This window comes from Homo sapiens, chromosome 13 (assembly GCF_000001405.40).
Source record: "Homo sapiens chromosome 13, GRCh38.p14 Primary Assembly".
Taxonomy (NCBI): Eukaryota; Metazoa; Chordata; class Mammalia; order Primates; family Hominidae; genus Homo; species Homo sapiens.
Window position 1 is genome coordinate 95,288,157 of NC_000013.11, and position 27,428 is coordinate 95,315,584.

The window sequence follows — 27,428 nt, forward strand, 5'->3', positions numbered from 1 at the left end:
CCAGAGTGGTCATGTGTCTTGCCTAAGGTCACACACAGCTAATATATACAAGATCATGGGTCTTCTGGCTCCAGTCTGAGGCTGTCACAATAACTAGCTTCTCACTTGGTCCTACCTAAGACACAGGTGTCAGCAACTCTAAATTCAAGAAATTGAGATTAAGACTAAAGTAATAGCTTATAAACATTAATTAAGCATATTAATTGCAAGATGTTAAACCAGTCACTGAGAGATTAAGACATTGAAGATACTGGTTTCTGCCTTAATAGAGCTAACAATTTAGTAAAAAAGTCGCAAATGAGTCAAGACTTAAATAAGACTTAAAGACTTAAGACAATAAAAAAGGCATGATAAAAGGGTAAATTTAGGCTGGACGCAGTGGCTCATGCCTGTAATCCCAGCACTTTGGGAGGCTGAGGTGGGCGGATCACCTGAGGTCAGGAGTTCAAGACCAGCCTGGCCAACATGGCAAAGTCCCATCTCTACTAAAAATACAAAAATTAGCCAGGTGTCATGGCACAAGCCTGTAATTCCAGCTACTCGGGAGGCTGAGGCAGGAGAACTGCTTGAACCCAGAAGGTGGAGGTTGCTCAAGAGCAAGACTCTGACTCAAAAAAAAAAGGATGGGGGATAAATTTAGCAAGAACCCTCATCATCCCATTTACCTACAGCCTAATATGTACTAGGAACTTACATATACAATAATAGGTAAAATCTATTAAGAATGTATTATGTTTTATAGTTGAACAAATTGTGTCGCTTAATCAACTTAGAATTCATGTAAATGCCACATTTGAGCTCTGTTACATTGAGAGCTCTCCAGGCCCAGCCTACCATGTTAAGCCATTGATAAACCTCCCTGCTACTATTTAAAACAAGATGGATACCTTTCTACTGTCTTTAAAGAGGAAGAGTACACACTGTTGGACTGTATGCACTCTCCGTCTCTCAAGACAGTAATCTGAGGGATTACTTCAATAGCAGAAGTTAAAAGAAGCGGTCAGTTGGGTTTATTACATAATCTCAATCACATCCTGACCAATAAAATGCACCAATAAAGATCAGCAAATAAAAGCAAGTGATTAGAAGAGCAATTTTATGCTCACGAGCTCTGAATTCACAAGTGTGAGATTTCCTGTCAAGTACTCTCATGAGCTCAATTAATCTCTGACCCAGGGTGAGAAAATAAACATAGTGACGCAGAGGCTGCAGCTCATGCTTTGGAATTTGTCAGACTTGACTCAGTTCCCAACTCCATCATGTCCTGCCTGGGTGACCCTCATTATGCTACCTGGACTCTCTCAGTTTCCTTCACCTGTATGTAACACAAGAGCAGAGCCACCCTCAACAAGGGGTTACTATAAAAATCGAAGAACCCGGCATCTCTAACAACATCCCTGGCACGGAGCAATCCCCCTTCTCCCTCAGCCACTGGCTGAGCACCCACAGAGGGGAGTAAGTCCTATTGTGGTAATGGTTCTCATGCTTTGAGATCAGACAAGTCCTTTGAGAGGAACCTGAAAAAGGGGCAGCGAACCTTTGGCCAGAAAAATGGAAATATGCACAGAAATATTTTTGACTTTGGCAAGCAGTTGATCAGTGGTTCTTGGGCTTCAGTGCCCATCAGAAACGTAGAGAACCTTTTTAAAATATTGATGTGCGGGGCGCGGTGGCTCACACCTGTAATCCCAGCATTTTGGGAGGCCAAGGCTGACGGATCACCTGAGGTCGAGAGTTCGAGACCAGCCTGGCCAACATGGAGAAACCCCATCTCTACTAAAAATACAAAATTAGCCAGGCATGGTAGCGCATGCCTATAATCCCAGCTACTCAGGAGGCTAAGGCAGGAGAACTGCTTGAACCCGGGAGGCAGAGGTTGCGGTGAGCCAAGATCACACCATTCCACTCCAGCCTGGGCAACAAGAGCAAAACTCTGTCTCAAAAAAAATAGATAGATAGATAGATAGATAGATAGATAGATAGATAGATAGATGATAGATAGATAGATGCGTGGATCCCACCCCCAGAAATTATTTTTCCAATTGGCCTATAAGGGGAACAGACATCCATATTTTTATGGCTGTCCAGGTGATCCAATCATGGTGAGGGCTAAGAAACTGCTATGTAATCTAAAAAGAATTTAGAAAAAATAAAGCTAATAAGGTTAAAAGAAATAATGCACATCAACAATCATTTGAAGGGAGCAATTTGAGAGTATATTCATGAAAAGCAGCACCAAGAGCCAGCTTGTGTTAAGAGGAATCATGGCCGGGTGTGGTGTCTCACGCCTGTAATCCCAGCACTTTGGGAGGCCAAGGTAGGTGGATCACCTGAGGTCAGGCGTTCGAGACTAGCATGGCCAACATGGTGAAACCCTATCTCTACTAAAAATACAAAAATCAGCTAGGCGTAGTGCCACATGCCTATAATCCCAGCTACTGGGGAGGCTGAGGCAGGAGAATCACTTGAACCTGGGAGGCAGAGGTTGCAGTTAGCCAAGATCGTGCCATTGCACTCCAGCCTGGGCAACAAGAGCAAAACTCTGTCTCAAAAAAAAAAAAAAAAAAAAAAAAAAGAGGAAATCGTGAGGCCAGGCACAGTAGCATCGCGCCATTGCACTCCAGCCTGGGCAAAAAGAGCAAAACTCCATCTCAAAAAAATAAATAAAAATAAAAAATACAAATACAAAAATTAGCCGGGTGTGGTGGCAAGCACCTGTAATCCCAGCTACTCGGGAGGCTGAGACAGGAGAACCGCTTGAACCCCGGGAGGCAGAGGTTGTACTGAGCTGAGGTTGCGCCACTGCACTTCGGCCTGGGCGACAGAGCAAGACCCTGTCTCAAAAAAAAAAAAAGAGGAAACCATGCCAAATGACTTTAACCCTTTTCTTGGTAGGGTTTCTGAATGACTGCCCAGGCTGGGCATGACGGTTCACACCTGTCATCCCAGCATTTTGGGAGGCCAAGGCAGGTGGATCACTTGAGCTCAAGAGTTCGAGACTAGTCTGGGCAACATGGCAAAACCCCACCTCTACAAAAAATTAGAAAAATTAGCCAGCTGTGGTGGCCCGCACCTGTAGTCCCAGCTACTTGGGGGGCTGAAGCAGTAGGATCACTTGAGCCTGGGAAGTCAAGGCTCCAATAAGCTATGAATGCACCACTGCACTCCAAGGCTGGCTGGCAAGGCAAGATCCTGTCTCAAAAAAAAAAAAAAGACAGAAGTGCCCAGGTGATCCAATACTCCAATACCTCTTGACTTCCATAAAGCAGACCTCCATATGACACGACCTCTCTTGACACTTGTGGCCAAGTTAATCTAGCAACCACAGTGTTGATTAGTGGATCTGCCACAACCTAGAGGACATTCCTAGGACCCATCCTTTCTAGCATTCAGACTACGAAAGTGTTCCAAGAACTTTCAACAGCAACAATGAGCTGCTAAACGTTAGCATCTACAAAATGAATTTGCATAGGGATAGAAGAGCAGTTACATGGGGACAAGCCCTGCGGACTGTGAGGTCAATTGGCCATGTGTCCAATATAGCTCAACTGCATGTATCACTGATGATGCCCAAATTGACATAAACTTCCTGACCACATTGGCCAACATGATGAAACTCCATCTCTACTAAAATACAAGTATTAGCTGGGTGTGGTGGCGCGTGCCTGTAATCCCAGCTACTCGGGAGGCTGAGGCACGAGAATTGCTTGAACCAGAAGGTGGAGGTTGCAGTGAGCCAAGATCATACCACTGCACGCCAGCCTGGGCAACACAGTGAAACTCCATTTAAAGAAATAATAATAATAAGATAAACTTCTCCATGAGCCCCAAACTCATGACCAATTGAATGCCTATTCAACATCTCCACTTGAATGTGTAGCAGGCATCTCAAACTTAACAGGGTCAAAAATAAACTCCTGTCCAGGCACCATGGCGCATGCCTGTAATCCCAGCACTTTTGGAGGCTAGGGCGGGAGGATCACTTGAGCCCAGGAGTTCAATACCAGCCAGGGCAACATGGCAAAACTTCATCTCTACAAAAAATATAAAAAATTAGCTGGGCATGCTGGCACACACCTGTGGTCCCAGCTACTCAGGGGGCTGAGGTGGAAGGATGGCTTGAGCCCAGGAGGTGAAAGTTGCAGTGAACTGAGATCGCACCACTGCAATCCAGCCTGGGTGACAGAGTGACACCCTGTCTCAAACAAAGAAACAAAGATTTAATGTGGCCATGATAGCTGTCTTTGAATACTATGAGGCGAGCATATGAAGGGAGGTAGCCAACTTGCTCTGCGTGTTGACAAAAAAACAAAGGAGAGCGGCTCTGAACCTATTTTGGTTCTAGGAGCTGCTTGATTCACAGATCATTCTTTGCTTCATTAAATTCTGTAATGCTTTTCTTAGAAGTAAGTAAACACAAGTAGAAATTGCATGGAAAGAAAACTGTGGCTCAATACAACATAATTCTGGCATTCGAATCTAAAGTCATGAGAGTCACATAATGCATTTCCCCACTGCCCAGTATCTGGAAGGGATTCCTGTACTGAGTGTGGGCTAGAAGATCTCTTCCTTTCAACCCACTAATTCTATGACACTAAGGAAAAGGGGAAGATAGGAGCTAGCGCAGAGAAAAGAGCAGACAGGGACTAGGCCTGAAACAGACCAGCACGGAAGTGGTCATGGAACCCAGAAATGGAACAAGGAGCTACGTCGCAGGCCACAAAAGGGCTGTAAGTACTCATGAGTAAGGGGCTGGAAGTGGGAGAAGCAAAGTCTGAACATCTGCTGGGATGAAAGAGGGGAGGGCAACCTTGGGTGTAACAAACGCTACCGGCTGGCAGGGACGACATAGCGACTGAGGGGTGGTCATTCGCCACACGTCTCAGGCAACACTTTCTCCAACTGCAGTTCTGTGACCTGGACATCTCATCCCCTGCCAGGAACGATTTCCCACCTTCTCCATCCAAGCTCCAACAGGAAGGTAAACCCCTCCCCAGAGATCTCCATCTTGGCCAACATGGCAAAACCCTGTCTCTAACAACAACAAAAAAATTAGCCAGGCCTGGTGGTGCACATCTGTAATCCCAGCTACTTGGGAGGCTGCGGCAGGAGAATCGCTTGAGCCCGGGAGGCGGAGGTTGTAGTGAGCCGAGATCATGCCACTGCACTCCAGCCTGTGCGACAGAGACTCCATCTCAAAAAACAAAAACAAAAACAAAATCCCCACCCTCACACAGCTTTTCCATACTTCTACTCCAGCACACCCAACACGGGTTCAGGATGAACTCCTGCAGCAGCGACTGCTGGACACACGGACTATGTTTTTTTGAGATGGAGTCTCGCTCTGTTGCCCAGGCTGGAGTGCAGTGGCGTGATCTTGGCTCACTGCAACTTCTGCCTCCCGGGTTCAAGCAATTCTCCTGCCTCAGCCTCTCGAGTAGCTGGGACTACAGGTGCATGCCACCACGCCCAGCTAATTTTTGTATTTTTAGTAGAGACGGGGTTTCATTACGTTGGCCAGGCTGGTCTTGAACTCCTGACCTTGTGATCCACCTGCCTCGGCCTCCCAAAGTGCTGGGATTACAGGCATAAGCCACCGCACCCAGCCTGGACTACGTTTTCTTTTGCTTTTTTTTTTTTTTGAGACAGAGTCTCATTCTGTAGCCCAGGCTGGAGTGCAGTGGTGCAATCTTGGCTCACTGCAGCCTCCACCTCCTGGGTTAAAGCGATTCTCCTGCTCGGTCTCCCAAGTAGCTGGGATTACAGGCATGTGCCACCATGAAAGAAGGCAGGGTGCCTTCTTTCTTGCCAGGTGCAAATCCATTACAATAAAGTACCATTCCTGTTCTCAAAGAGCTCACACAATGAGGGAGGCAGCCACTGTATCGTGCAAATAATGCTAGCTATTAAACAAGCCCTGATTCTCAATGGCTTAATTCAAAATCACCAGCCGAGGCAGTGGATCACATGAAGTCAGGAGTTGGAGACCAGCCTGGCCAACACAGCAAAACCCCTTCTCTACTAAAAATACAAAATAAATAAATAAATAAAAAATTATCCGGGCGTGGTTTTGAGCTCCTGTAATCCCAGATACTTGGGAGGAGGCTAAGGCAAGAGAATCGCTTGAACCCGGGAGGCAGAGGTTGCAGTGAGCCGAGATCACGCCACTGCACTCTAGCCTGCAAGACAGAGATAGACTCCGTCTCAAAAAAGAAAACAAGAAACCAAGACCATGCCTATTGTCATGCTATAGTCCCCTTTTGGGCCATCTAGGGTGGTGAACAACACCATACATTTACTCCTAGCTGGACTTTCACCATCTTGCGGCTCGGCCTCCTCTCAGTCCTCCTCCTCTCCAGGAGGCCTCTTTATTCAGCTGGAGAGGCGTTGCATGGGGCTGGTTTTTGTGTTCCAGTCGTGGAAGCGAGACACCTTTTGCAACCACTTCCTATTGGCCAGGTCTCAGTTTCATGGTCACCTCTGACCACAAGGTTGGGGTAGAAAACATAGTCCAGGCTGGGCATGGCGGCTCACGCCTGTAATCCCAGCACTTTGGGAGGCCCAGGTGGGTGGATCACCCGAGGTCAGGAGTTCAAGACCAGCCTGGACAACATGTTGAAACCCCATCTCTCCTAAAAGTACAAAAAATTAGCTGAGCATGGTGGCGCACATCTGTAGTCCCAGCTATTTGGGAGGCTGAGACAGGAGAATCGCTTGAACTCCGGAGGCAGAGGTTGCAATGAGCCGAGATCACGCCACTGCACTCCAGCTTGGGCAACAAGAGTGAAACTCCATCTCAAAAATTAAAAAATTAAAAACAAAAAATAAAATAAAAATAAGGCACTCAAATGTTTGCTAAATGAATAATCTAAACCGCAGAGGATCAAGGCAGTAACCTTGGCCTCCCAGACACCGATCAAGTAGAATTGGACACCAAAGACTGAGAAAGACCTGAGAAACGTGGCTCCCAAATCTCAGCATCTGAATCAACCAGGAAATAATGCTTTAAAAAATGCAGATTTCAGGATGCTCAACCCCAAGAGACTGTGATTCTGCAGACACAGAAATTTACTATTTGGCCGGCCACAGTGACTCACACCTGCAATGTCAGCACTTTGGGAGGCCAAGGCGGGAGAATCACTTGAAGCCAAGAGTTTAAGACCAACATGGGCAACACAGCGAGACCTGGTCTCTACCAAAAATGTATTAATAAAAATTACTGGCCAGGCACAGTGGCTCGCCCCCGTAATCCCAGCACTTTGGGAGGCCGAGGTGGGTAGATCACAAGGTCAGAAGATCAAGACCATCCTGGTCAACATGATGAAATCCCATCTCTACTGAAAATACAAAAATTAGCTGGATGCAGTGGCGTGCGCTTGTAGTCCCAGCTACTCAGGAGGCTGAGACAGGAGAATCACTTGAACCCTGGAGGCAGAGATTGTAGTGACCCAAGATCACGCCACCGCACTCCAGACTGGGCAACAGAGCAAGACTCCGTCCCCCGCCCCTCAAAAAATTAGCTAGGTGTCCAGGTGCGGTGGCTCATGCTTGTAATCCCAGCACTTTGGGAGGCCAAGGAGGGCGGATCACAAGGTCAGGAGTTCAAGACCAGCCTGGCCAACATACTGAAACCCCATTTCTACTAAAAACACACAAAAAAATTAGTTGGGCATAGTGGCAGGCACCTGTAGTCCCAGCTACTTGGGAGGCTGAGGCAGGAGAATCACTTGAACCCAGGAGGCAGAGGTTGCAGTGAGCTGAGATCACACCACTGCACTCCAGCCTGGGTGACAGTGAGACTCCGTCAAAAAAAAAAAAAAAAAACACTTTAGCTAGGTGTGGTGGCGTGCACCTGTAGCTCAGCTACTTGGGAGGCTGAGCTGGAAGGATCACTTAAGCCTAGGAATTTGAGGCTACAATGAGCCATGATTGCATCACTGCACTCCCACCTGGGCAACAGAGCAAGACCCTGTCTCAAAACACACACACACACACACACACACACACACACACACACACACACACACAAAAACACAAAATTAAATGGCCAGGAATAGTGGCTCATTCCTGTAATCCCAACGCTTGGGAAAACCAAGGCAGGAGGACTGCTTGAGCCCAGGATTTTGAGACCAGCCTGGGCAACATAGTGAGACCTCATCTCTACAAGAAAAATATTTTTTTTATTATAGAAAAAGAAAATATAAAATTAAACATTTGATGCATTGACTGAGGGCCTCACACACCCTTCCTCTCTAAGCCATCCCCTGCCCTCAGCCACTTGTGTTTGCTTCTATAGTCATGTCATCAGCTCTCTAGGGCAGGTCTCCAGAGAGTCTGTCTGGTCACCAGTGGCAGTTTCCACAGCAGCACAGGCTTTGCAAGATGACACTTCACCCACTGAGATATGGCCAGCAACAGGGGAGCAAGGATTTAACCACTTTCTGTGGGCCAGATGCATCTGGAGATCCCTCTCAATGCCCATATTTAGGGAAAAGTCCTTCGTTGTTAGCCTCCACCCTGCTGCTGACCCCAGATCACCTCTGGATCAGGTGTGGGCAGAGGAATGCAAAGTGCCTGCCGGGCACCAGGGGGCAGCAGGACAATTCCTAGGAGAGTCTCAGGGATTGACCCATCTTGTGCCCAGCTGGCCACAGTTCATAGGCTATGCCACTTATTTCCACTAACGGGAAAGAGGAGGAATTATTCAATAAATGATAATGGGGAAAACGAGCTGTTTGGGGAAAAAATGGGGACTATCTCATATCAAATACCAAAAGAAATTCTAGCTGCCTTTATTGTTAGAAATGAAACAATAGCTAAAAGAAAATGGAAGGCCAGGCACAGTGGCTCACACCTGTAATCCCAGCACTTTGGGAGGCCGATGCAGGTGTATCACCTGAGGTCAGGAGTTCGAGACCAGCCTGGCCAACATGGTGAAACCCTGTCTCTACTAAAAACATGAAAATTAGCCAGGTATGGTGGTGGGCACTTGTAATCCCAGCTACTTGGGAGTCTGAAGCAGGAGAATCACTTGAACCCTGGAGGCGGAGGTTGCAGTGAGCCGAGATCACACCACGGCCAGCCTGGCAACAGAGCTAAAACTCTGTCTCATAAAAAAAAAAAAGAAAGAAAAAAGAAAGAAATAGGTGAAAATACTACCTTTAAAAATCCACAATTGCCAACAGCCATAATGCATGACTCCTTTTAGACTCCAAGTCCAAATTATGCTATAAATACACCAAAATCCCGGGAAAATACTTTGAATAAAAGTCAGTAAGCCAGTTATTGGCATCATTTAGGTAGGCAGCTGCCAGTTCACAAGTTCAGAAAGCAGATGATATTTGAGAAGAAAAGCAAACACTCAACAAGAAGGTGAAAAAGCAGTTTTTCCCTACAAGGTGGGCCCTGTCTCCAGGCAGCCACTTCCTGGATGGGCTCATTTCAGCTTTCCACTGGCAGTGGGAAGGGTACACAAATACTGACCTAAAAGCAGGAGGCTAAGGCACAAAATATAACTCAAGAATTTACTACAGACCCAGTGTGGTGGTTCATGCCTGTAATCCCAGCACTTTGGGAGGCCGAGGCAGGCAGATCGCTGGAGCTCAAACTCCTGAGCTGTGGATTACAGTGTCCTTGGGGCACTGTTAGGTTAATCTGTAGCTATGTGGCAATATGAAGTACTTTCGAGTGATAAGTAAATAGCTCAAGGGGGTGGGAACTACGAGGTGACTGCTGTGTCATTTTAATGTCTCTCTGGGCCTGATAATTTAAAAGGACTCCGCATTCCTCAGATGATGATTATTATTATTTTCTCACTATGAGGCCTCAGACTTTAAAATCCCTCAAACTGGCCCAGGCACAGTGGCTCATGCCTGTAATCCCAGCATTTTTGGAGGCCAAGGCGGGCAGATCACCTGAGGTCAGGAGTTCAAGACCAGCCTGGCCAACATGGTGCAACCCCATCTCTACCAAAAATACAAAAATTAGCTGGGTGTGAGGGTGCACGCCTATAGTCCCAGCTACTTGAGAGACTGGGGCAGGAGAATCACTTGAACCCAGGAGGCAGAGGTTGCAGTGAGCAGAGATTGCACCACTGCACTCCAGCCTGGGTGACAGAGCTGAGCAACAGAGAAAGACTCCGTCTCAAAAAAAAGAAATAAAGAAATTTTAACAATTAAAAATAAAGAAAAGCATAATACTGTAATAATACTCCAATGAAAGGAGTAGCTGGAAGCAGTAAGCGCCTCAAATCAGGATCACCTGGAGCACTTGAAACCTCACCACCCCCACCCACACACCCAGTGTTTCCAGTTTTACTGAATCAGTCCAGAGTGGATGCTGGAGAATCTGCATCTCTTAGAATCTCCCAAGTGATGCCGATGCTGCTGCTCTGAGTGCTATGCTTTGAGAACAGCTGCCCTAAAGCACACTAATAGTTGTTACACATGCATCATCTCCAACTGCAGGTACTTTAAGAATTTCCCTTGAGAAACTCTAGCCTTCCAGAACAGGGAGCGCCTTCTCCATGCATTTCCGACAGCACCTGAACTGGAAGCAGCTCAGTACAGCAGCTCCAAAGAGGCTGGGGAGCCAGTCTGCCCAGCTTTGGAGCCTGCTCTGACACTTGATTGTTGTGTGAGTCCAGGCAACTTAACCACTCTCAGCTTAAGTGTCCTCGGAGTAAAACAGAGGTCTACTAGCTCCTTCCCTTCCATCAGGGAAACCGGAAATGAACACCTACTCAAGTCATCAATGGGAGCGCATCACTTCCTATTTCCCTGCCACCTACATTTTGAAAATGCAGGGGGAGAAAAATATAAGGAGGCAGGAGTCACATCTGTAATCCCAGACTTTGGGTGGCCGAAGCGGGAGGAACACTTGAGCCCAGGAGTTCAAGACCAGCCTGAGCAACAACATAGAGAGCCCTATCTCTACAAAAAAAATTTTTTTTTATTATCCGGGCATGGTGACACACACCTGGAGCCCCAGCTACTCGGGAGGCTGAGGCAGGAGGATTGCTTCGGCCCAGGAGTTGGAGGCTGCAGCAAGCTATGAATGTGTCACTGCCCTCCAGCCTGGGTCACAGCTTGCACAAAGCAAGATCCTGTCTCAAAAAAAAAAAAAAAAAGTTCCTTGCCCTGCCTGAAGTTGAGGAGACCATTTGTCTACCTCAAGTTATTATTTGCAGAAACCACACCCATATTCCTTCCTCCTCCACGTGCCCCTCTCCTTAAGAGAAAGGCCGCCAAACAACCAAGAGAAGTTCCTACACCCACTGAGTGTACCACAATCGAAACAAGAGTAAGCGACTCATCCTCTTGGAATCCCCTAGGTCAAGCTTGTCCAACCTGAGGCCCATGGGCTGCCAAATTCGTAAGCTTTCTTAAAACATCAGATTTTTTTTTGCGATTTTTTTTTAGCTCATCAGCTATCATTAGTGTTAGTGTATGATTAGTGTTAGTGTATTTTATGTATGGCCCAAGACAATTCTTCCAGTGTGGCCCAGGGAACCCAAAAAATTGGAGACCCCCACCCTAGGTTGTCCCATAATAAAAGGCAATATCAACATGTGGGAAAGATGAGGCGGCAGAGGTCAAGAAACAGAAGATCTAATAATCATCCAAGTGAGATTGAAGCCCTTCAAAGGTTCAGGCTTATGTAGTTAGCAGACGGAATTCCCCCACACACACCCGCCACTCCCCCAAGACGGAGTCTCACTCTGTCACCCAGGCTGGAGTACAGTGGGGCGATCTCAGCTCACTGCAACCTCCGCCTACTGGGTTCAAGCAATTCCCCTGCCTCAGCCTCCTGAGTAGCTGGGATTACAGGCGTGCTCCACCACACCCGGCTAATTTTTGTATTTTTAGTAGAGACGGGGTTTCACCATGTCAGCCAGGCTGGTCTCGAACTCCTGACCTCGTGATCCACCCACCTCTGCCTCCCAAAGTGCAGGGATACAGGCGTGAGCCACCGCGCCAGGCCAAGATGGAAATTTTAGTTACTACTGTCACCCGAGTCTTTCTCCGTTTGTTTCCTTGCACAAAATGGGTAGGGCTGTGGGCCCTCCCAGCTCAGGAGCCCTGGGGTGGTTTTAAGAAGGTAGAACTCCTGGTAGGAACCACCTGCATCAAGACCATGGATCACCTCTCTGAAGGTTAGCGATTCCAGGGACCCCACCTCCGAGCTGTCCTCCTACGTGGAAGTGAAAGTATTGGAAACAGGGGAAAGAAGCTGGTCAAAGACAGACTCCAGTCGTGGCGGTGCATGTCCCAGTTAAAAGCAAATCCTGGAAAATCTTGTTCAAGAACAGGGTCCCCATTCATAAATGAAAAATAATAATAGTGTTATTTTACCCACATGAAACTTGCCATAACTAGGTACCACGACCCACATGGACACACAGTGAGATTCCCACAAAGAGGCAAAAGGAGAGCCCTGGTCACTGAGACAAAAGATACAGAGACACCGGGACACAGAGAGGTACAACGGGACGTGGAGTTGGATCGAGCTGTCTCGTAAGGAATATCGGAAGGGGTGGGGACACTACTGGGAGATGGCATAGGTCCAGGACACTAATTAGGCTTTGGCTGAGATCAGATAAAGGAAACTGTTCGTAAGCTGCTTACTTAAAAAGAAAGGAAAAGGTGCGTTTGAGTTCAGGAGACTGCGAGTCCCAGAGCAGGAGGCGGGAGCCAGCGAAGGGTGGGCGTGTAAGGGGTGCAGTCGCTTCTCCCGCTGGGCAAGAGACTCCCCCTTTCGGCAGCCTGGGTTCCCCGCCTCCCCACCTCCTGCTCCTCCTCCCCCGAGCCCTAAGGGCCCGCAGGGCCTCCAGTAGCAAAGCCACTGGCCCCGCGTCCCCGCGTCCCCCTGCGCCGCGCCCCGGGGCGCAGGCAGGGACCACGCGGCCGGCGTGGGGGCGGCGCCACCCGCAGCAGAAAGCCCCGGCGTGGACCGCGTGGCGTAGGAAAGCGCTCCCCTCGCCCCCAGCCGCAGAGGGCTTGGGCAGCATCGGGCGCGGCCCCGGGAGAGTGCGTCCGCGGCGCCAGCGGCTGCAGGGTGACCTGTTTCGGGCGGGGACACTCACCAGAAGAACACGCGTGAGCAGAGGTTCGCGTCCTGCAGCGGGTTGGGCTTCACCTCCTGGTACACGGGCAGCATCTTGCCGGGCGGGGCGGGCGCGGGCCGGGGTCGCGCTGATCAGGCGGCGGTGGCCGCGGGCTCCGCTCCTGGACCTCAAGCAGGGATGCTGGGGCTCCGGCCGCCACGCCTGTCCGCTCGGCTGGAGCCTGTGAAGCAGCCGCTTCCGGGAGCCGGGCGCCGGCGGCACGCCCCGTCCCCGCCTCTCAGGCCCGCCGCCTCGGGGGCGCCCGCTACGCGCCGCCGCCTGGAGCCCGGGAGCTGCGCACCGCGTGCGAGCGCGGCCGGGACCGACGGGTGACGCGGCGGGAGGAGACGCGGCGGGAGGAGGCGAAGCTGGCGACGCCAAAGGGAGCCCAGAGCTACGCCCAGGGGTGAGGCGAGGGCCGCCTGCGCCGCTGGATGGAGAGGGTAGCAGAGCGCGCGGCAAGGAGGCCGGGTCCGGAGGTGCCCACGTGCACGAACCCGAGTGAAACTTTCCGAAATTCACTATCCGAGTCTAGGCGCCGACACAGAAGGTGGAGCAGGGAGGCGTCGGCTGTGCCCGCCCCTGCGCCGCAGAAACGCCCCCTCGGCTACGGGTTTGGGAAGACTGGGAGACAGCTGCCTCGTGCTCTAGCAGCCCGCCCCCTGGGCGCCTTTCCCTTCTCAGGACCAAACGACGGTGCCATGGGAGGCTCTTCAACCTGTGAGCCAAACATTTGACCTTGGACGACAGCAAAGTTTAGCCACAGATTATCCTTGTAGAGCTGCAAGACCTCAAGAAAGCCGGGTAACTCGAGAGTATGACCCAGATGAATTCGGGAGATGGATGAATGCTGTCGTCGATGGGGGCGGGCTTTAGGCATCTCACATGTTGCATGCTACGGTGGACCTCTGAGCTTTTTGCTGCCCCCTTAGATTGGGAAAGGAATATAAGAGGAAAGAGAGACTGCCTGATGATTTCTGTCGTCAAGCCCTAAAGCCTAACAGATAACAGTGGCAAACGACACGTGGGTTCCAGAATACCAGTGATGTTCATGTGCATTTCTGAGTGCGTAGCCTCACTAGTGTGTGTGTGTGTGTGTGTGTGTGGCAGTCTCACACACAGTGTCACGATTATGGCTCATTGCACCCTCGACCTCCCAGGGCTCAAGCAATCCTCCCAACTCAGTTTAAGTAGCTAGGACTACAGGCACCCGCCACCACACCCGGCTCATATTTTGTAATTTTTGTAGAGATGCAAAAATCAAAATCAAAGGCTCCAAGTTCAAATACTGATAATTTTTGAAGCCAAATGATTGTCATGGAGGTTTATTTTCTTCATATTTCATGCATGTTTGAGAATTTGGTTTTCTTTGTAATAAGATCATTTTATTGTTCCTTGATAATTTCTCACTTTGTTGCCCAGGCTGGTCTCAAACTCCTAGGCTCAAGTGATCCTCCCACCGTGGCCTCCCAAAGTGCTAGGATTACAGGCATGTACCACCACGCCCGACCAATTATCTCACTTTTAATTCTATCAGTGCCCCATTCAAGGTTATCCTTACTTTATAGATGAGGAAGGTGAAGCTGAAAGGCAGAACTTGTCCAGTCTTAGAGCCAAGAAAGGATAAAACATGATTTGCAATAAGCCTATGTCTAAGCATGGCCTGTCTCCCTGGTGGATGGCCAGTGTGCATGAGAAGTGCCCAGAATATGCTGGTTGAATGGCTGTAGGAATGAATGAACAAAATCTTGTTCCAAGCTTGTGTACTCCCACCTCTAAGTCTTCAGTCATTTCTGTGGCTACCTTAACAAGGTCAGCAGCTGCTCTTCATATCCACCCTGAATGAAAAAAAATGAAAGGCTCCAAGTTCATGGTGCTTGGAACAAGATCATTTTATTGTTCCTTGATAATTTCCCATGTATATTTGCTAAAATAGTATAGTTAATAGCTTTTAAAGAAAGCCTTACACAAACACATATTTAAAAGTCAAGCACAGGCTAGCCAGCATAGTGAGGCTCTGTCTCTACCAAAAGTTTTAAAAATTAGCCCAGGTGTGGTGGCGTACCCTTGTAGTCCCAGCTACTCGAGAGGCTGAGACAGGAGGATGGCTTTAGCCCAGGAGTTCCAGGCTACAAGGAGTTAAGAAGGTGCCCACTGGGCTGGGCACAATGGCTCACGCCTATAATCCTAGCACTCTGGGAGGCTGAGGCAGGTGAATCACCTGACGTCAGGAGTTCGAGACCAGCCTGGCCAACATGGTGAAACCCCATCTCTACTAAAAATACAAAAAATTATCTGGGTGTGGTGGTGGATGCCTGTAATCCCAGCTACTCAGGAACCTCAGGCAGAAGAATCACTTGAACCCAGGAGGCGGAGGTTGCAGTGAGCCGAGATCATCCCACTGCACTCCAGCTTGGCAACAAGAGTGAAACTCCGTCTCAAAAAAAAAAAGAAGGTGCCACTGCACTCCAGGCTGTACAAGCCCATAATCCCAGCACTTTGAGAGGTGGAGACAGGAGGATTGCTTTAGCCCGGGAGTTCTAGACCAGCCTGGGCAACATAGGGAGACCTCATCTCCACTAAAAATGTGAAAATTAGATGGGCATGGTGGAGTAAGTCTGTAGTCCCATGTAACCTGGAGGCTCAGGTGGGAGGATTGCTTGAGCCCAGGAGTTCTAGACCAGCCTGGGCAACAAAGGGAGACCTCATCTCTACTAAAAATGTAAAAATATGATGGGTGTGGTGGCGTGAGTCTGTAGTCCCAGCTGGAGGTTCAGGTGGGAGGATTGCTTAAGCCCAGGAGTTGGAGGCTACAGTAGGCTATGATCACACCACTGCCCTCCAGCCTGGGCTAAAGAGTGAGACTCTGTCTCAAAAAAAAAAAAAGTCAAGCACATAAGAATGGCAAAATATTGATAATTTTTGAAGCCAAATGATGTGTCATAGGGGTTTATTTTCTTACATTTCATGCATGTTTGAGAATGGTTTTCTTTTTGGAGATGGGCTCTCAGTATGTTGCCCAGGCTGGACTCAAGCTGCTGGGCCCAAGGGATCCTCCTGCCTCAACCCCTCCAAGTACCTGGGATTGTAGGCACTCGCCAGCATACCAGCTCATGTTTCAGAATTTCTGTCACAAAAAGGAACACAATATTTTAAGTTGACTACTGTGGGAAAGCTATGATCATTCAATAACCTACCTTTCTGATAGCTCTTTCTCAGATAATATAAGCTATAAACCAAAATAGTCAGCCTTCACCTGATTTACAGTGCCCTTTGAAACTTCCTAAGTTTTCTAGCCCAGTAAATGCTGAGCTACCAGTTCTACTTCCAAGCTAGAGAACCTGTTTACTAAAGTTAGAAGTCTAGTGACTTCCTCTGTCAGACTGTCCCAGAATGCTCTCCCTACCCCCAACAACTGTGTAAGAACCGTCATTAGCCATCTCCAAATTGCCAAAGTGCTCAGTCCCTTCGGCTCCTGCAGAGGCTTATTTTTTTCTTAATTAAGATCTTTTGGAACTTCTTAACATTCTTTTCTGAACATTAACAATGTGGTGTTTGGAAGAGATACTATAGAGCAGTGTCTGACTGCAGAGAGGAGTGGATATGGAACCAGGGGGCCAGGGCTTTATATCTTTTCACTTGTTACCTAACCTTTCTGACCCTTATTTTTCTCAGGTCTAAAATGGGGTCGGGGCGGGCGCAGGGGCTCATGCCTGTTATCCCAGCACTTTGGGAGGCGGAGGCAGACAGATCACCTGAGGTCAGGAGTTAGAAACCAGCCTCGCCAACATGGCAAAACCCCCTCTCTACTAAAAATACAAAAATGATCTGGGCGTGGTGGCATGTGCCTGTAATCCCAGCTACCTGCGAGACTGAGGCAGGAGAATTGCTTGAACCAGGGAGTCAGAGGTTGCAGTGAGCCGAGATCATGCCACTGCACTCCAGCCTGGCGACAGAGCGAGATTCTGTCTCAAAAAAAAAAAAAAAAAGATAAAAATTAGCCAGGCTTGGTGGCATGCGCCTGTAGTCCCACCTACTTGAGACGCTAAGGCAGGAGAATTACTTGAACCTGGGCTGCAGAGGTTGCAGTGAGCCATGAGCCAAGAGCTCGCTGCTGCACTCCAGCCTAGGTGACAGAGCTAGACTCCATCTCAAAAAAAAACAACAACAATAAAATGGGGTCAGGCAGGGCATGGTAGCTCACACCTATAATTTCAACATTTTGGGAGCCCAAGGCAGGAGCATCACTTGAAGCCAGGAGTTCGAGAGCAGCCTGGGCAATGTGATGAGATGCCGTCTCTACAAAAAATAAAAATAAAAAATAATAATAATAATAGTAATAATAATGTTTTTTAAATTAGCCAGGCATGGTGGCACACACCTGTAGTCCTAGCTACTCGGGAGGGTAAGATGGGAGGATCACTTGAGCCTAGGAGTTTGAGGCTGCAGTGAGCTCTGATTGCACGACTGCACTCCAACCTGGGAGACAGAGTGAGAGACCCTGTCTCTAAAAACATAAAAATACATGTAAAAACAAAATAGGGATCAGAATCCCCACTCTTCCTTCTTCACAGGATTATTGTGAGTCTCACAACTTGTGAATACACTCTGAAGGCAATATACAAATTAAAGGATGGGGGTTTTTTCCCATTCATTCAATAAATCGTTAGTGAACGCCTTCTGGATACATGACAGCTAGGCCAGGGAATGAGCCTGCAAAGACGAGGAAGATGTCTTCTTTTTTGTTTGTTTGTTTGTTTGTTTGTTTGTTTTTGAAACAGGGTCTAGCTCTCACCCAGGCTGGAGTGCAGTGGTGCAATCTTGGCTCACTACAACCTCCCGGGCTCAAGCCCATCCTCCCATCTCAGCATCCCAAGTAGCTGGAACTACAGGCACGCACCACCATGCCCAGCTAACTTTTGTATTTTTTTGGTAGAGAGGGGGTTTTGCTGTGTTGCCCAGGCTGGTCTCAAACTCCTGAGCTCAAGTGATCTGCCAGCCTCAGCCTCCTAAAGTGCTGGGATTACAGGTGAGAGCCACAGCACCCAGCCTAAAGATGTCTTAAGAATAGGCATGGGCAAGGACCTCATGTCTAAAACACCAAAAGCAATGGCAACAAAAGCCAAAATTGACAAACGGGATCTAATTAAACTAAAGAGCTTCTGCACAGCAAAAGAAACCACCATCAAAGTGAACAGGCAACCTACAAAATGGGAGAAAATTTTTGCAACCTACTCATCAGACAAAGGGCTAATATCCAGAATCTACAAGGAACTCAACAAATTTACAAGAAAAAAACAAACAACCCCATTAAAAAGTGGGCGAAGGATATGAACAGACACTTCTCAAAAGAAGACATTTATGCAGCCAAAAGACACATGAAAAAATGCTCACCATCACTGGCCATCAGAGAAATGCAAATCAAAACCACAATGAGATACCATCTCACACCAGTTAGAATGGCAATCATTAAAAAGTCAGGAAACAACAGGTGCTGGAGAGGATGTGGAGAAATAGGAACACTTTTACACTGTTGGTGGGACTGTAAACTAGTTCAACCATTGTGGAAGTCAGTGTGGCAATTCCTCAGGGATCTAGAGCTAGAAATACCATTTGACCCAGCAATCTCATTACTGGGTATATACCCAAAGGATTATAAATCATGCTGCTATAAAGACACATGCACACGTATGTTTATTGCAGCACTATTCACAATAGCAAAGACTTGGAACCAACCCAAATGTCCAACAATGATAGACTGGATTAAGAAAATGTGGCACATATACACCATGGAATACTATGCAGCCATAAAAAATGATGAGTTCATGTCCTTTGTAGGGACATGGATGAAGCTGGAAACCATCATTCTCAGCAAACTATCGCAAGGACAAAAAACCAAACACTGCATGTTCTCACTCATAGGTGGGAATTGAACAATGAGAACACATGGTCACAGGAAGGGGAACATCACACACCGGGGACTGTTGTGGGTGGGGGGAGGGGGGACGGATAGCATTAGGAGATACACCTAATGTAAATGACGAGTTAATGGGTGCAGCACACCAACATGGCACATGTAGACATATGTAACAAAACCTGCACGTTGTGCACATGTACCCTAAAACTTATCAAGTATAATAATAAAAAACAAAATAAAATAAATAAATGCACAGTTTAGCTGGGGGAAAAAGAAAAGAGACAGGGTCTTATGTTACCCAGGCTGGTCTTGAACTCCTGGGCTCAAGCCATCATCCTGCCTTGGCTTCCCAAAGTGTTGGGATTACAGGCACGAGCCTCCAGGCCTGGCCATAAGCTTTCTTTGAAGGCTTCTCTAGAGAGCGTCCTTTTCTTGTCTCCTGGTAGTTCTTGGTAGTGCCATGCAGGCCGCTGTCTATGGCTGTGAGTATAAAGGCCCGCAGGTGAGGGGACGAGGCATGGGATGGGTGCTGGGATCCTGGGCTCCTTGGCCAAGCTATATGCTCTGGGTATGACTGCCTCAGCCCCTGGAAAGGGCACCTTTCTGTCACTCACTCAAAGGTGTTCTCTCTGGCATGAACACAGTGGCCACCTCCCTCTCATTTTTCGGCCTGCTTCAATTAATATGTGACTTTTGACTTCCCTGTCTACAATTCCCTTCTCCACTAAGTGAGGCTAAAGCTTTGCTTTTGGTGAAACATGACAGCATTCTACTGCTAATTCCATCATGCCACCTGTAAGCCTAACCCTTCCTCTGGTTTCCTGTGTGACATGCTATATGATACTGGGCCAGTCACTTCACTGTGTTGGCCTCAGTCTCCTAATTTGTAGAATGGGGGACAGGGGTTGCATTAGACCTGGGGATACTATGATTATTTCTGAATAATGCCTTTTAACCAATCGAATGTTGCCTTTTGCGATACTACCTATGGCTTGCCTGGGCACACCCACATGTGCACTGGGGGAATGGGGGGGATCCACCAGGAATTTGTGCCTTATGCAGGGGAGGGGCCTGGCCTCTTCAGCTCATCCATGGTAGCCCTGGTATTCAACTGTGAGGGGGAAACCTGCTTGGAGAACCCCTCTCTTTGCCAAGAGCTTTCCTTTCGCTTAATAAATTCTGCCTGCCTCACCCTTCAAAAAAAAAGAAAGAATGACTTGTCAAAGGAAAAAATATTAGGGCCACTTCAAGCTGGGAACTGCTCAGGGCAAATCTGCCTCCCATTCTATTCAAAGTCACCCCTCTGCTCACAGAGATAGATGCATATTCTAATTGCCTCCTTTGGAGAGACTTATCAGAAACTCAGAAGAATGCAACCATTTGGCTGAGCACAGTGGCCTGTAATCCCAGCACTTTGGGAGGCCGAGGTGGGTGGATCACCTGAGGTCAGGAGTTTGAGACCAGCCTGGCCACTTTGGTGAAACCCCGTCTGTACTAAAAATACAAAAAAGTAGCCGGGCGTGGTGGCAGGTGCCTGTAACTCCAGCTACCTAGGAGGCTGAGGCAGGAGAATACTTGAACTTGGTAGTTTCACTCGTGTCCATGTAAAGAGACCACCAAACAGGCTTTGTGTGAGCAACAAGGCTGTTTATTTCACCTGGGTGCAGGCGGGCTAAGTCCAAAAAGAGTCTGCGAAGGGAGATAGGGGTGAGGCTGTTTTATAAGATTTGGGTAGGTAAACGAAAATTACAGTCAAAGGGGGTTCTCTGGCAGGCAGGGGTGGGGGTCACAAGGTGCTCAGTTGGGGAGCTTTTGAGCCAGGATGAGCCAGGAGAAGGAATTTCACAAGGTAATGTCATCAGTTAAGACAGGAACTGGGCATCTGGACGTGTACATGCAGGTCACAGGGGATATGATGGCTTAGCTTGGGCTCAGAGGCCTAACAGATAGAGGTTGCAGTGAGCTGAGATCGCACCACCGCACTCAAGCCTGGGCAACAAGAGCAAAACTCCATCTCAAAAAAAAAAAAAAATCATGAATAACTTGGCCAGGCGTGGTGGCTCACCCCTATAATCCCAGCACTTTGGGAAGCTGTGGTGGGAGGATTGGTTGAGCCCAGGAGTTCGTGACCCAACCTGGACAACATAGTGAAAACCCATCTCTACCAAAAGAATTAATAAAATTAGCCAGGAATAGTGGTGGAATCCCAGCTACTTGGGAGGCTGAGGCAGGAGGATCGATTGAGCCCAGGAGGTCAAGGTTGTAGTGAGTTGTGATTATGCCCCTGCACTGCAGCCTCAGTGACAGAGTGAGAACTTGTCTTAAAAAGAAAAAAAAAAAGGAAAAGAGAAAAAAATACCAATGGATAACTTATTTTAAGGAGGGATGAGAAGATGTTAAACATGAGGCCTGCAGTGGCAGACCATCCACATCAATTTTTATGGAAAAAAATCATCTTGTTTGTGCCCTAATTGAAGAAGACCAACAATTAACAGCAGCCAACACCATATTAACAATAGCAAACACCACAGACGTCTCAATTGGTTCAGCTTACACAGCTCTGACTGAAAAATTAAAGTTGAGCAAACTTTTCACTCAATAGGTGTCAAAACTGCTCTGCCCAGATCAGCTATGGAGAAGAGCAGAGCTTTCAGTGGAAGTTTTAAACAAGTGAGATCAAGATCCTGAAGTATTTTTTTTCAAAGAATTATAACGGGAGATGAAGCATGGCTTTAGCAGTACGATCCTGAAGACAAAGCACAATCAAAGCAATGGCTACTGAGTGGCAGAAGCGGTCCAGTCACAGCACAAACAGAGCAGTCAAGAGCAAGGGTCACACAACAGTTTTCTGAAATGCTCAAGATATTTTGCTTGTTGATGTTCTGGAGGGCAAAGAATGATAACATCTGCTTGCTATGAGTGTTTTGAGAAAATTAGCCAAAGCGTTAGCAGAAAAATGCCTGGGAAAGCTTCACCAGAGTCCTTCTCCACCACGACAATGTTCCTGCTCATTCATCTCATCCAACCAGGACAATTTCCCAAGCGTTTCAATGGGAAATCACTAGTATTCACATTACAGTTATGATTTGATGCCTTCTGACTTGTTTTTGCTTCCTAATCTTAAAATATATTTAAAGGGCACTCATTTTTCTTTAGATATTACTGATAATACTGTATGGTTGAATTCCCAGGACTCTCAATACTTTTTTTTTCTTTTGAATCAGAGTTTTGCTCTTGTTGCCCAGGCTAGACTGCAATGGCATGATCTCAGCTCACCACAACCTCCACCTCCCAGGTTCAAGCGATTCTCCTGCCTCAGCCTCCTGAGTAGCTGGGATTACAGGCATGCACCACCACGCTCAGTTAATTTTGTATTTTTAGTAGAGACGGAGTTTCTCCATGTTGGTCAGACTGGTCTCAAACTCCCAACCTCAGGTGATCCACCCGCCTCAGCCTCCCAAAGTGCTAGGATTACAGGCGTGAGCCACCACACCCGGCCAGGACTCTCAATTCTTTAGGGATGGACTAATGACTGGTATCATTGCTTACAAAGGTGTCTCAAACTTGATGGAGCTTACACTGAGAAATAAAGTTTATATTTTTTATTTTTATCTGTTAAGTCCATTTTTTTCATGAACTTTTTTTTTTTTTTTTAGGCTAGTCAAGTGAAGCAGTGGGAGTGGAAAAGGAGCAAAGAAATCTGTAACTGGTTGTGATTCCATGAACTTTTTGAAATCCCCTTGTATTGGCTTCCTTCCCTCTTCTGTCTTACTTCTCTACTCCCTACAAGTGTTTTCTGGGATCACCTCCAAATAAACTACTTGCAATCTAATCCTGTCTCAAGTCTGCTGCTGTGGGAACCCAAACTAAGACACCTGCAAAAAATATCCTTCCAATTACTGAAAAATATGTTCACTTGCACCCATAAAAGTGTTTGCTAATACCGTAGACCCTTGGCTGTACAATATGGTAGCAGTATCCACATGAGCATTTTGGGACTTGAAATGTGGCTGGTCCCAGTTGAGATGTTCTGGAAGTATAAAACACACTGACTTCAAAGACAGTGTCAAGAAAAATGTGTTTAACGTCTCATGAATGATTTTTTTTACATGGATTACATGTTAAAATGATAATATTTGGACACATTAGTTAAAAACAGAAAGTCAGCCCCCCAACATTTCCAGGTAGAGAACCTATCAAAGGAGACTGAAGTGAGAAGAAAAATAGAGTCACAGAAGTGAAGAAAATGTTTCAAGAAAGGAAAGCTGGAGCCCATGCTTCTGAGAGGCTGGGAAATTGAGGACAGAAGAGCAGCCACTGTATTTAACAACGTGGGGACCTTTGGTGAATTGATCAAATCAGTATTTTAAAGAGAGGGAGACAGACCCTAATTAAAATATATTGAGGAGAGAATGGAATGTGAAGATGTAAAGACAGAGGTTATACACAACTTCTCTGAGAAATGTTGCTGTGAGGAGAGAGAGAAAATATGTAATTGTAGGAGAGAAATCCTTGGGAAAGCAGTCCTCCACACCGTGGACTATTCCATAGCCAATTTTAACAACATAGGTGATAGGGTTTGGCTCTGTGTCTCCAACCAAATCTCATCTCGAATTGTGATTGCCACAATCCCCACATGTTGAGGGAGAAACCCGATGGGAGGTGATTGGATCGTGGAGGCAGTTGTTACCATGATAGTGAGTATTTTATAAAGGGCTCTTCCCCCTTCACTCCTTGCTCCCCTCTCTCCTGCCACAATGTGAAGAAGGTCCTTTTTTCCCCACCTTCTGCCATGACTGTAAGTTTCCTGAGGCCCCCTCAGCCATGTGGAACTGTGAGTCAATTAAAGCATTTTCCTTTATAAATTACCCAGTCTCGGGTATTTCTTTACAGCAGTGTGAGAATGAACTAATATGATGGGTGTAGTAGATGTTGTCAGTGCCTGACCAGAACCCCCAGGCCCTTACCATTTCACACTAGCCTGACTTCCGGCATCTCTGCCTCAAATCCTTCTGCTCCACCAGAGTTGGTTTAGCCCAAGTACAAGGCAGGCCAGGGAGTTAGTGTCTCCCTCTGCCCTCCTCCAGCAACAATCAACTAATAGATAGACAAGAGCTGGTGTATAAATAACGGCACTCACTCACTCACTCCTCAGGTAACTGAGGTTTGCGTTTATACTGTCTCCTAAATTTCCTCAGCAGGATTACTCTCCAGTAGCCCAGACTGGGACATGTCTGATGATATACCCTTTATTGGCTTCATTCCCTCCCCTGTCTCACTTCCCCACTCCCTGGTGGGTGTTTCCTGGGATCACCTACCAATAATCTCTTGACATTCGAACTCTTGTCTTAGGGTCTTGTCAAACAAAGACAATAGAAAATATTCATATAATGATATAAAACCATTATACCTATTATGTACAAGAATGCATGAAACTAAGAAAGACTGGAAGAAAACATTCCAAAATAATAACAGTGATTAGTTCTGTATTGTGGGTAATTAAAAATCAAAGCAAACCTTTCTTTTCTAAAATGAGTTCATTAATTTTTTATTTTTTATCTTTTTGAAATAGGGTCTTGCTCTGTCACCCAGGCTGGAGTGCAGTAGTGTGATGACGGTTCACTGCAGCCACAACCTCCTGAGCTCAGGTGATCCTCCCACCTCAGTCTCTGGAGTAGCTGGAACTGCAGGTGTGCGCCACTACACCTGGCTAATTTTTTGTATTTTTTGTAGAAATGGGGTTTTGCCACATTGCCCAAGCTGGTCTCAAACTCCTGGACTCAAGGGATCCTCTGTCCTCAGCCTCCCAAAGTGCTGTGATGATAAATGTGAGCCACCGCAACTGAGTTCATTACTTTTTTTGTTTTTTGATTTTTAGTTTTTTGTTTTGTTTTTTTAGAGACAGGGTCTCTCTGTCACTCAGGCTGGAGTGCAGTGGAGTGATCATAGCTCACTCAAGCCTCAAGGGCTCAGGTGATCCTCCCACCTCAGATTCCCAAATAGCTGAGACTATATGCACATGCCACCACAGTTGGATAATTTTTTAAACTTTTTTTGTAGAGACAGGGTCTCATTATGTTGTAAGGCTGGTCTTCAAATCCTGGCATCAAGCAATCCTCCCACCTTGGCCTCCCAAAATGCTGGGATTACAGGTGTGAGTCACTGAGCCTGGCCTAAAGTGAGGTTTTTTTGTTTGTTTGTTTGTTTGTTTGTTTTTAATTAAACATTTGTTTTAAAAAAGAAGTACTGTAATTACAATATACAGATTAACAGGTTTTGTGAATTCCAGAAGTCTATCTTCAAAAAAACAAACCTGTTCCTAAACAAAACCATCACTGATGTTAACTTTCTCAGCAATACATAGCAAATGAAATATCAACATCTGGCTGGGTACAGTGGCTCATGCCTGTAATCCTAGCACTTTGGGAGGCTGGGGCAGGCGGTTCACCTGAGGTCGGGAGTTGGAAACCAACCTGACCAACATGGAGAAACCCCATCTCTACTAAAAATACAAAATTAGCCAAGTGTGGTGGTGCATGCCTGTAATCCCAGCTACTTGGGAGGCTAAGGCAGGAGAATCGCTTGAACCAGGGAGGTGGAGGTTGCAGTGAGCCAAGATGGTGCCATTGCACTCCAGCCTGGGCAACAAGAATAAAACTCCGCCTCAAAAAAAAAAAAAGAAAAGAAAAGAAAGAAATATCAACATGTATATGAAAAACATAACAGGCCAGGCACGGTAGCTCATGCCTGTAATCCTGTCACTTTGGGAGGCGGAGGCAAGAGGATCACTGGAGCCCAGGAGTTCAAGACCAGCCTGGGCAATATAGCAAAACCCTGTCTCTACAAAAAAAAAACCCAAAAAATCAGCTAGGCATGGTGGTATGCACTGGTAGTCCCAGCTACTCAGGAGGCTGAGATGGGAGGATCACTTGAGCCTGGGTGGTCGAGGCTACAGTGAGCCATGACTACACCACTGCACTCCAGCCTGGGTGACAGAATGAGACTGTCTCAAAAAAAAAAAAAAGAAAGAAAAAGAAAAACATAACAAAAAATCCAGGATCCCAAGAAATTAGCTTCAGTTTAGAATTATGCTTCAGACCAAATATTATATCATAGAAAGGAAATGTATAAATGTATGGCAAAATATGATTTTTTTTCTTTCAGTAGCTATACTTCACTGAATGAGTAATTGTACCTTTTTACTGTTTCACTAAATCCTTACAATACTACTCTGAGGAATGTATTATTGTCTTTTTACAGATAATAAAGCCCAGAGAAAGGTGAAGTACATTCTCCAAAATGGAAAAAAAAATAAGATTTGCCAATGCCCATGAACATTGTACCACTTTGGTCTGCCTCTCTCTCCACTTCAGATGTCATGTTAGAGTCAGCAGCAGATCAAGGAACAGTCACTGAGTAAACATTTCTGATGTGGTTGATGTAATCTAGCACCACGAGGCTGGACGTGTATGAAGCCAGATTGCAAAAGCAAACAGGTGCCTTAGGGCAACTAGAAATGGGGACACCACAGCTATGTTGGGTAGAATGACAGGCAGGAAAGCCATGGCCCTTCAAAACCTACAATATAGACATTATAATCAGAACAGTAGAAAAAATCAACTTGTCTAGCAGAGACATCCATTTTTTAAAACTGCCAAGGCTCTGATAATTGTAATTTTAAAGTATATCTGACCTTGGCCAGGCACGCTGGCTCACACCTGTAATCCCAGCAGTTTGGCAGGCTGAGGCAGGTGGATCACCTGAAGTCAGGAGTTGGAGACCAGATTGGCCAACATGGTGAAACCCCGTCTCTACTAAAAATACAAAAATTAGCCTGGCGTGGTGGCATATGCCTGTAGCTACTCGGGAGGCTGAAGCAGGAGAATCGCTTGAACCTGGGAGGCAGAGGTTGCAGTGAGCCAAAATTGCACCATTGCACTCCAGCCTGGACAACAAGAGCTAAACTCCATCTCAACGAAATAAAAATAAATAAAGTATATTTGACCTTAAAGGACTAAAATTGGCACAGATTACATAGACACCTATTGTAGAGAAAAATTAAATTAGAACTAGATTATTCAATGACACATTACATAAGAACAACAGCTCTTATGTACCCATCAGCAGTATTTGCTGAATGTGTACAGGAAGCCATCACTCACAATTTTATTTACAAATAAAATGTAAACTAATCTTCAAGAGATAAGGGAGAATCTTGTGCCTGCTAGTTCAATCTGCTGCTTAAAAAAAAAGAAAAGAAAAGAAAAAAAAAAGCTGGCCAGGCGCGGTGGCTCACGCCTGTAATCCTAGCACTTTGGAAGGCTGAGGCAGGTGGATCACCTGAGGTCAGGAATTTGAGACCAGCTCGACCAACATGGCGAAACCCCATCTCTACTAAAAATACAA

General features: G+C 46.8%; 1 protein-coding gene, 1 long non-coding RNA gene and 1 pseudogene across 7 annotated transcripts in view, besides 7 other annotated features; 1 reads left to right on the forward strand and 2 right to left on the reverse strand.

Annotated features, from left to right (window-relative positions):
* The window catches only part of ABCC4 (ATP binding cassette subfamily C member 4 (PEL blood group)), a 281,617-nt gene extending 268,322 nt beyond the window's left edge, over positions 1–13,295 (reverse strand). For all 5 annotated transcript variants that reach the window (NM_001301829.2, NM_005845.5, NM_001301830.2 and 2 more), the window contains exon 1: positions 13,085–13,295. In NM_001301829.2, the coding sequence (NP_001288758.1) occupies positions 13,085–13,158 (74 nt within the window). In that variant the 5' untranslated portion in view covers positions 13,159–13,295. The remainder of the gene's footprint in view (positions 1–13,084) is intronic.
* Positions 8,468–8,557: an enhancer, noted in NCBI's record as "active region_7874". NCBI's record gives its function as "activates an Ori minimal core promoter by ATAC-STARR-seq in GM12878 lymphoblastoid cells {active_cell/tissue: GM12878}" and the evidence as "EXISTENCE:reporter gene assay evidence [ECO:0000049][PMID:35858748]".
* Positions 11,578–11,637: an enhancer, noted in NCBI's record as "active region_7875". NCBI's record gives its function as "activates an Ori minimal core promoter by ATAC-STARR-seq in GM12878 lymphoblastoid cells {active_cell/tissue: GM12878}" and the evidence as "EXISTENCE:reporter gene assay evidence [ECO:0000049][PMID:35858748]".
* LOC102724149 (uncharacterized) lies at positions 12,795–22,718 on the forward strand. 2 transcript variants are annotated; one of them, XR_429273.4, is made up of 3 exons: positions 12,795–13,107; positions 13,790–14,170; positions 22,679–22,718. It is a non-coding gene; the product is annotated as an uncharacterized LOC102724149 (long non-coding RNA). The 2 variants fall into 2 exon arrangements; XR_007063837.1 differs by lacking the exons at positions 12,795–13,107; positions 22,679–22,718 and adding an exon at positions 13,454–13,511 and having other exon boundaries at positions 13,790–14,066.
* Positions 12,831–13,470: a silencer, noted in NCBI's record as "silent region_5437". NCBI's record gives its function as "represses an Ori minimal core promoter by ATAC-STARR-seq in GM12878 lymphoblastoid cells {active_cell/tissue: GM12878}" and the evidence as "EXISTENCE:reporter gene assay evidence [ECO:0000049][PMID:35858748]".
* Positions 12,831–14,014: a biological region, named in NCBI's record as "H3K27ac hESC enhancer GRCh37_chr13:95953650-95954424".
* Positions 13,240–14,014: an enhancer, noted in NCBI's record as "H3K27ac hESC enhancer chr13:95953650-95954424 (GRCh37/hg19 assembly coordinates)". NCBI's record gives its function as "activates a minimal SCP1, AML or CMV promoter by ChIP-STARR-seq in naive H9 embryonic stem cells {active_cell/tissue: H9 hESC(naive)}" and the evidence as "EXISTENCE:reporter gene assay evidence [ECO:0000049][PMID:30033119]".
* Positions 13,501–13,560: a silencer, noted in NCBI's record as "silent region_5438". NCBI's record gives its function as "represses an Ori minimal core promoter by ATAC-STARR-seq in GM12878 lymphoblastoid cells {active_cell/tissue: GM12878}" and the evidence as "EXISTENCE:reporter gene assay evidence [ECO:0000049][PMID:35858748]".
* Positions 13,741–13,800: a silencer, noted in NCBI's record as "silent region_5439". NCBI's record gives its function as "represses an Ori minimal core promoter by ATAC-STARR-seq in GM12878 lymphoblastoid cells {active_cell/tissue: GM12878}" and the evidence as "EXISTENCE:reporter gene assay evidence [ECO:0000049][PMID:35858748]".
* On the reverse strand, positions 22,677–22,739 carry RNY3P8 (RNY3 pseudogene 8; annotated as a pseudogene).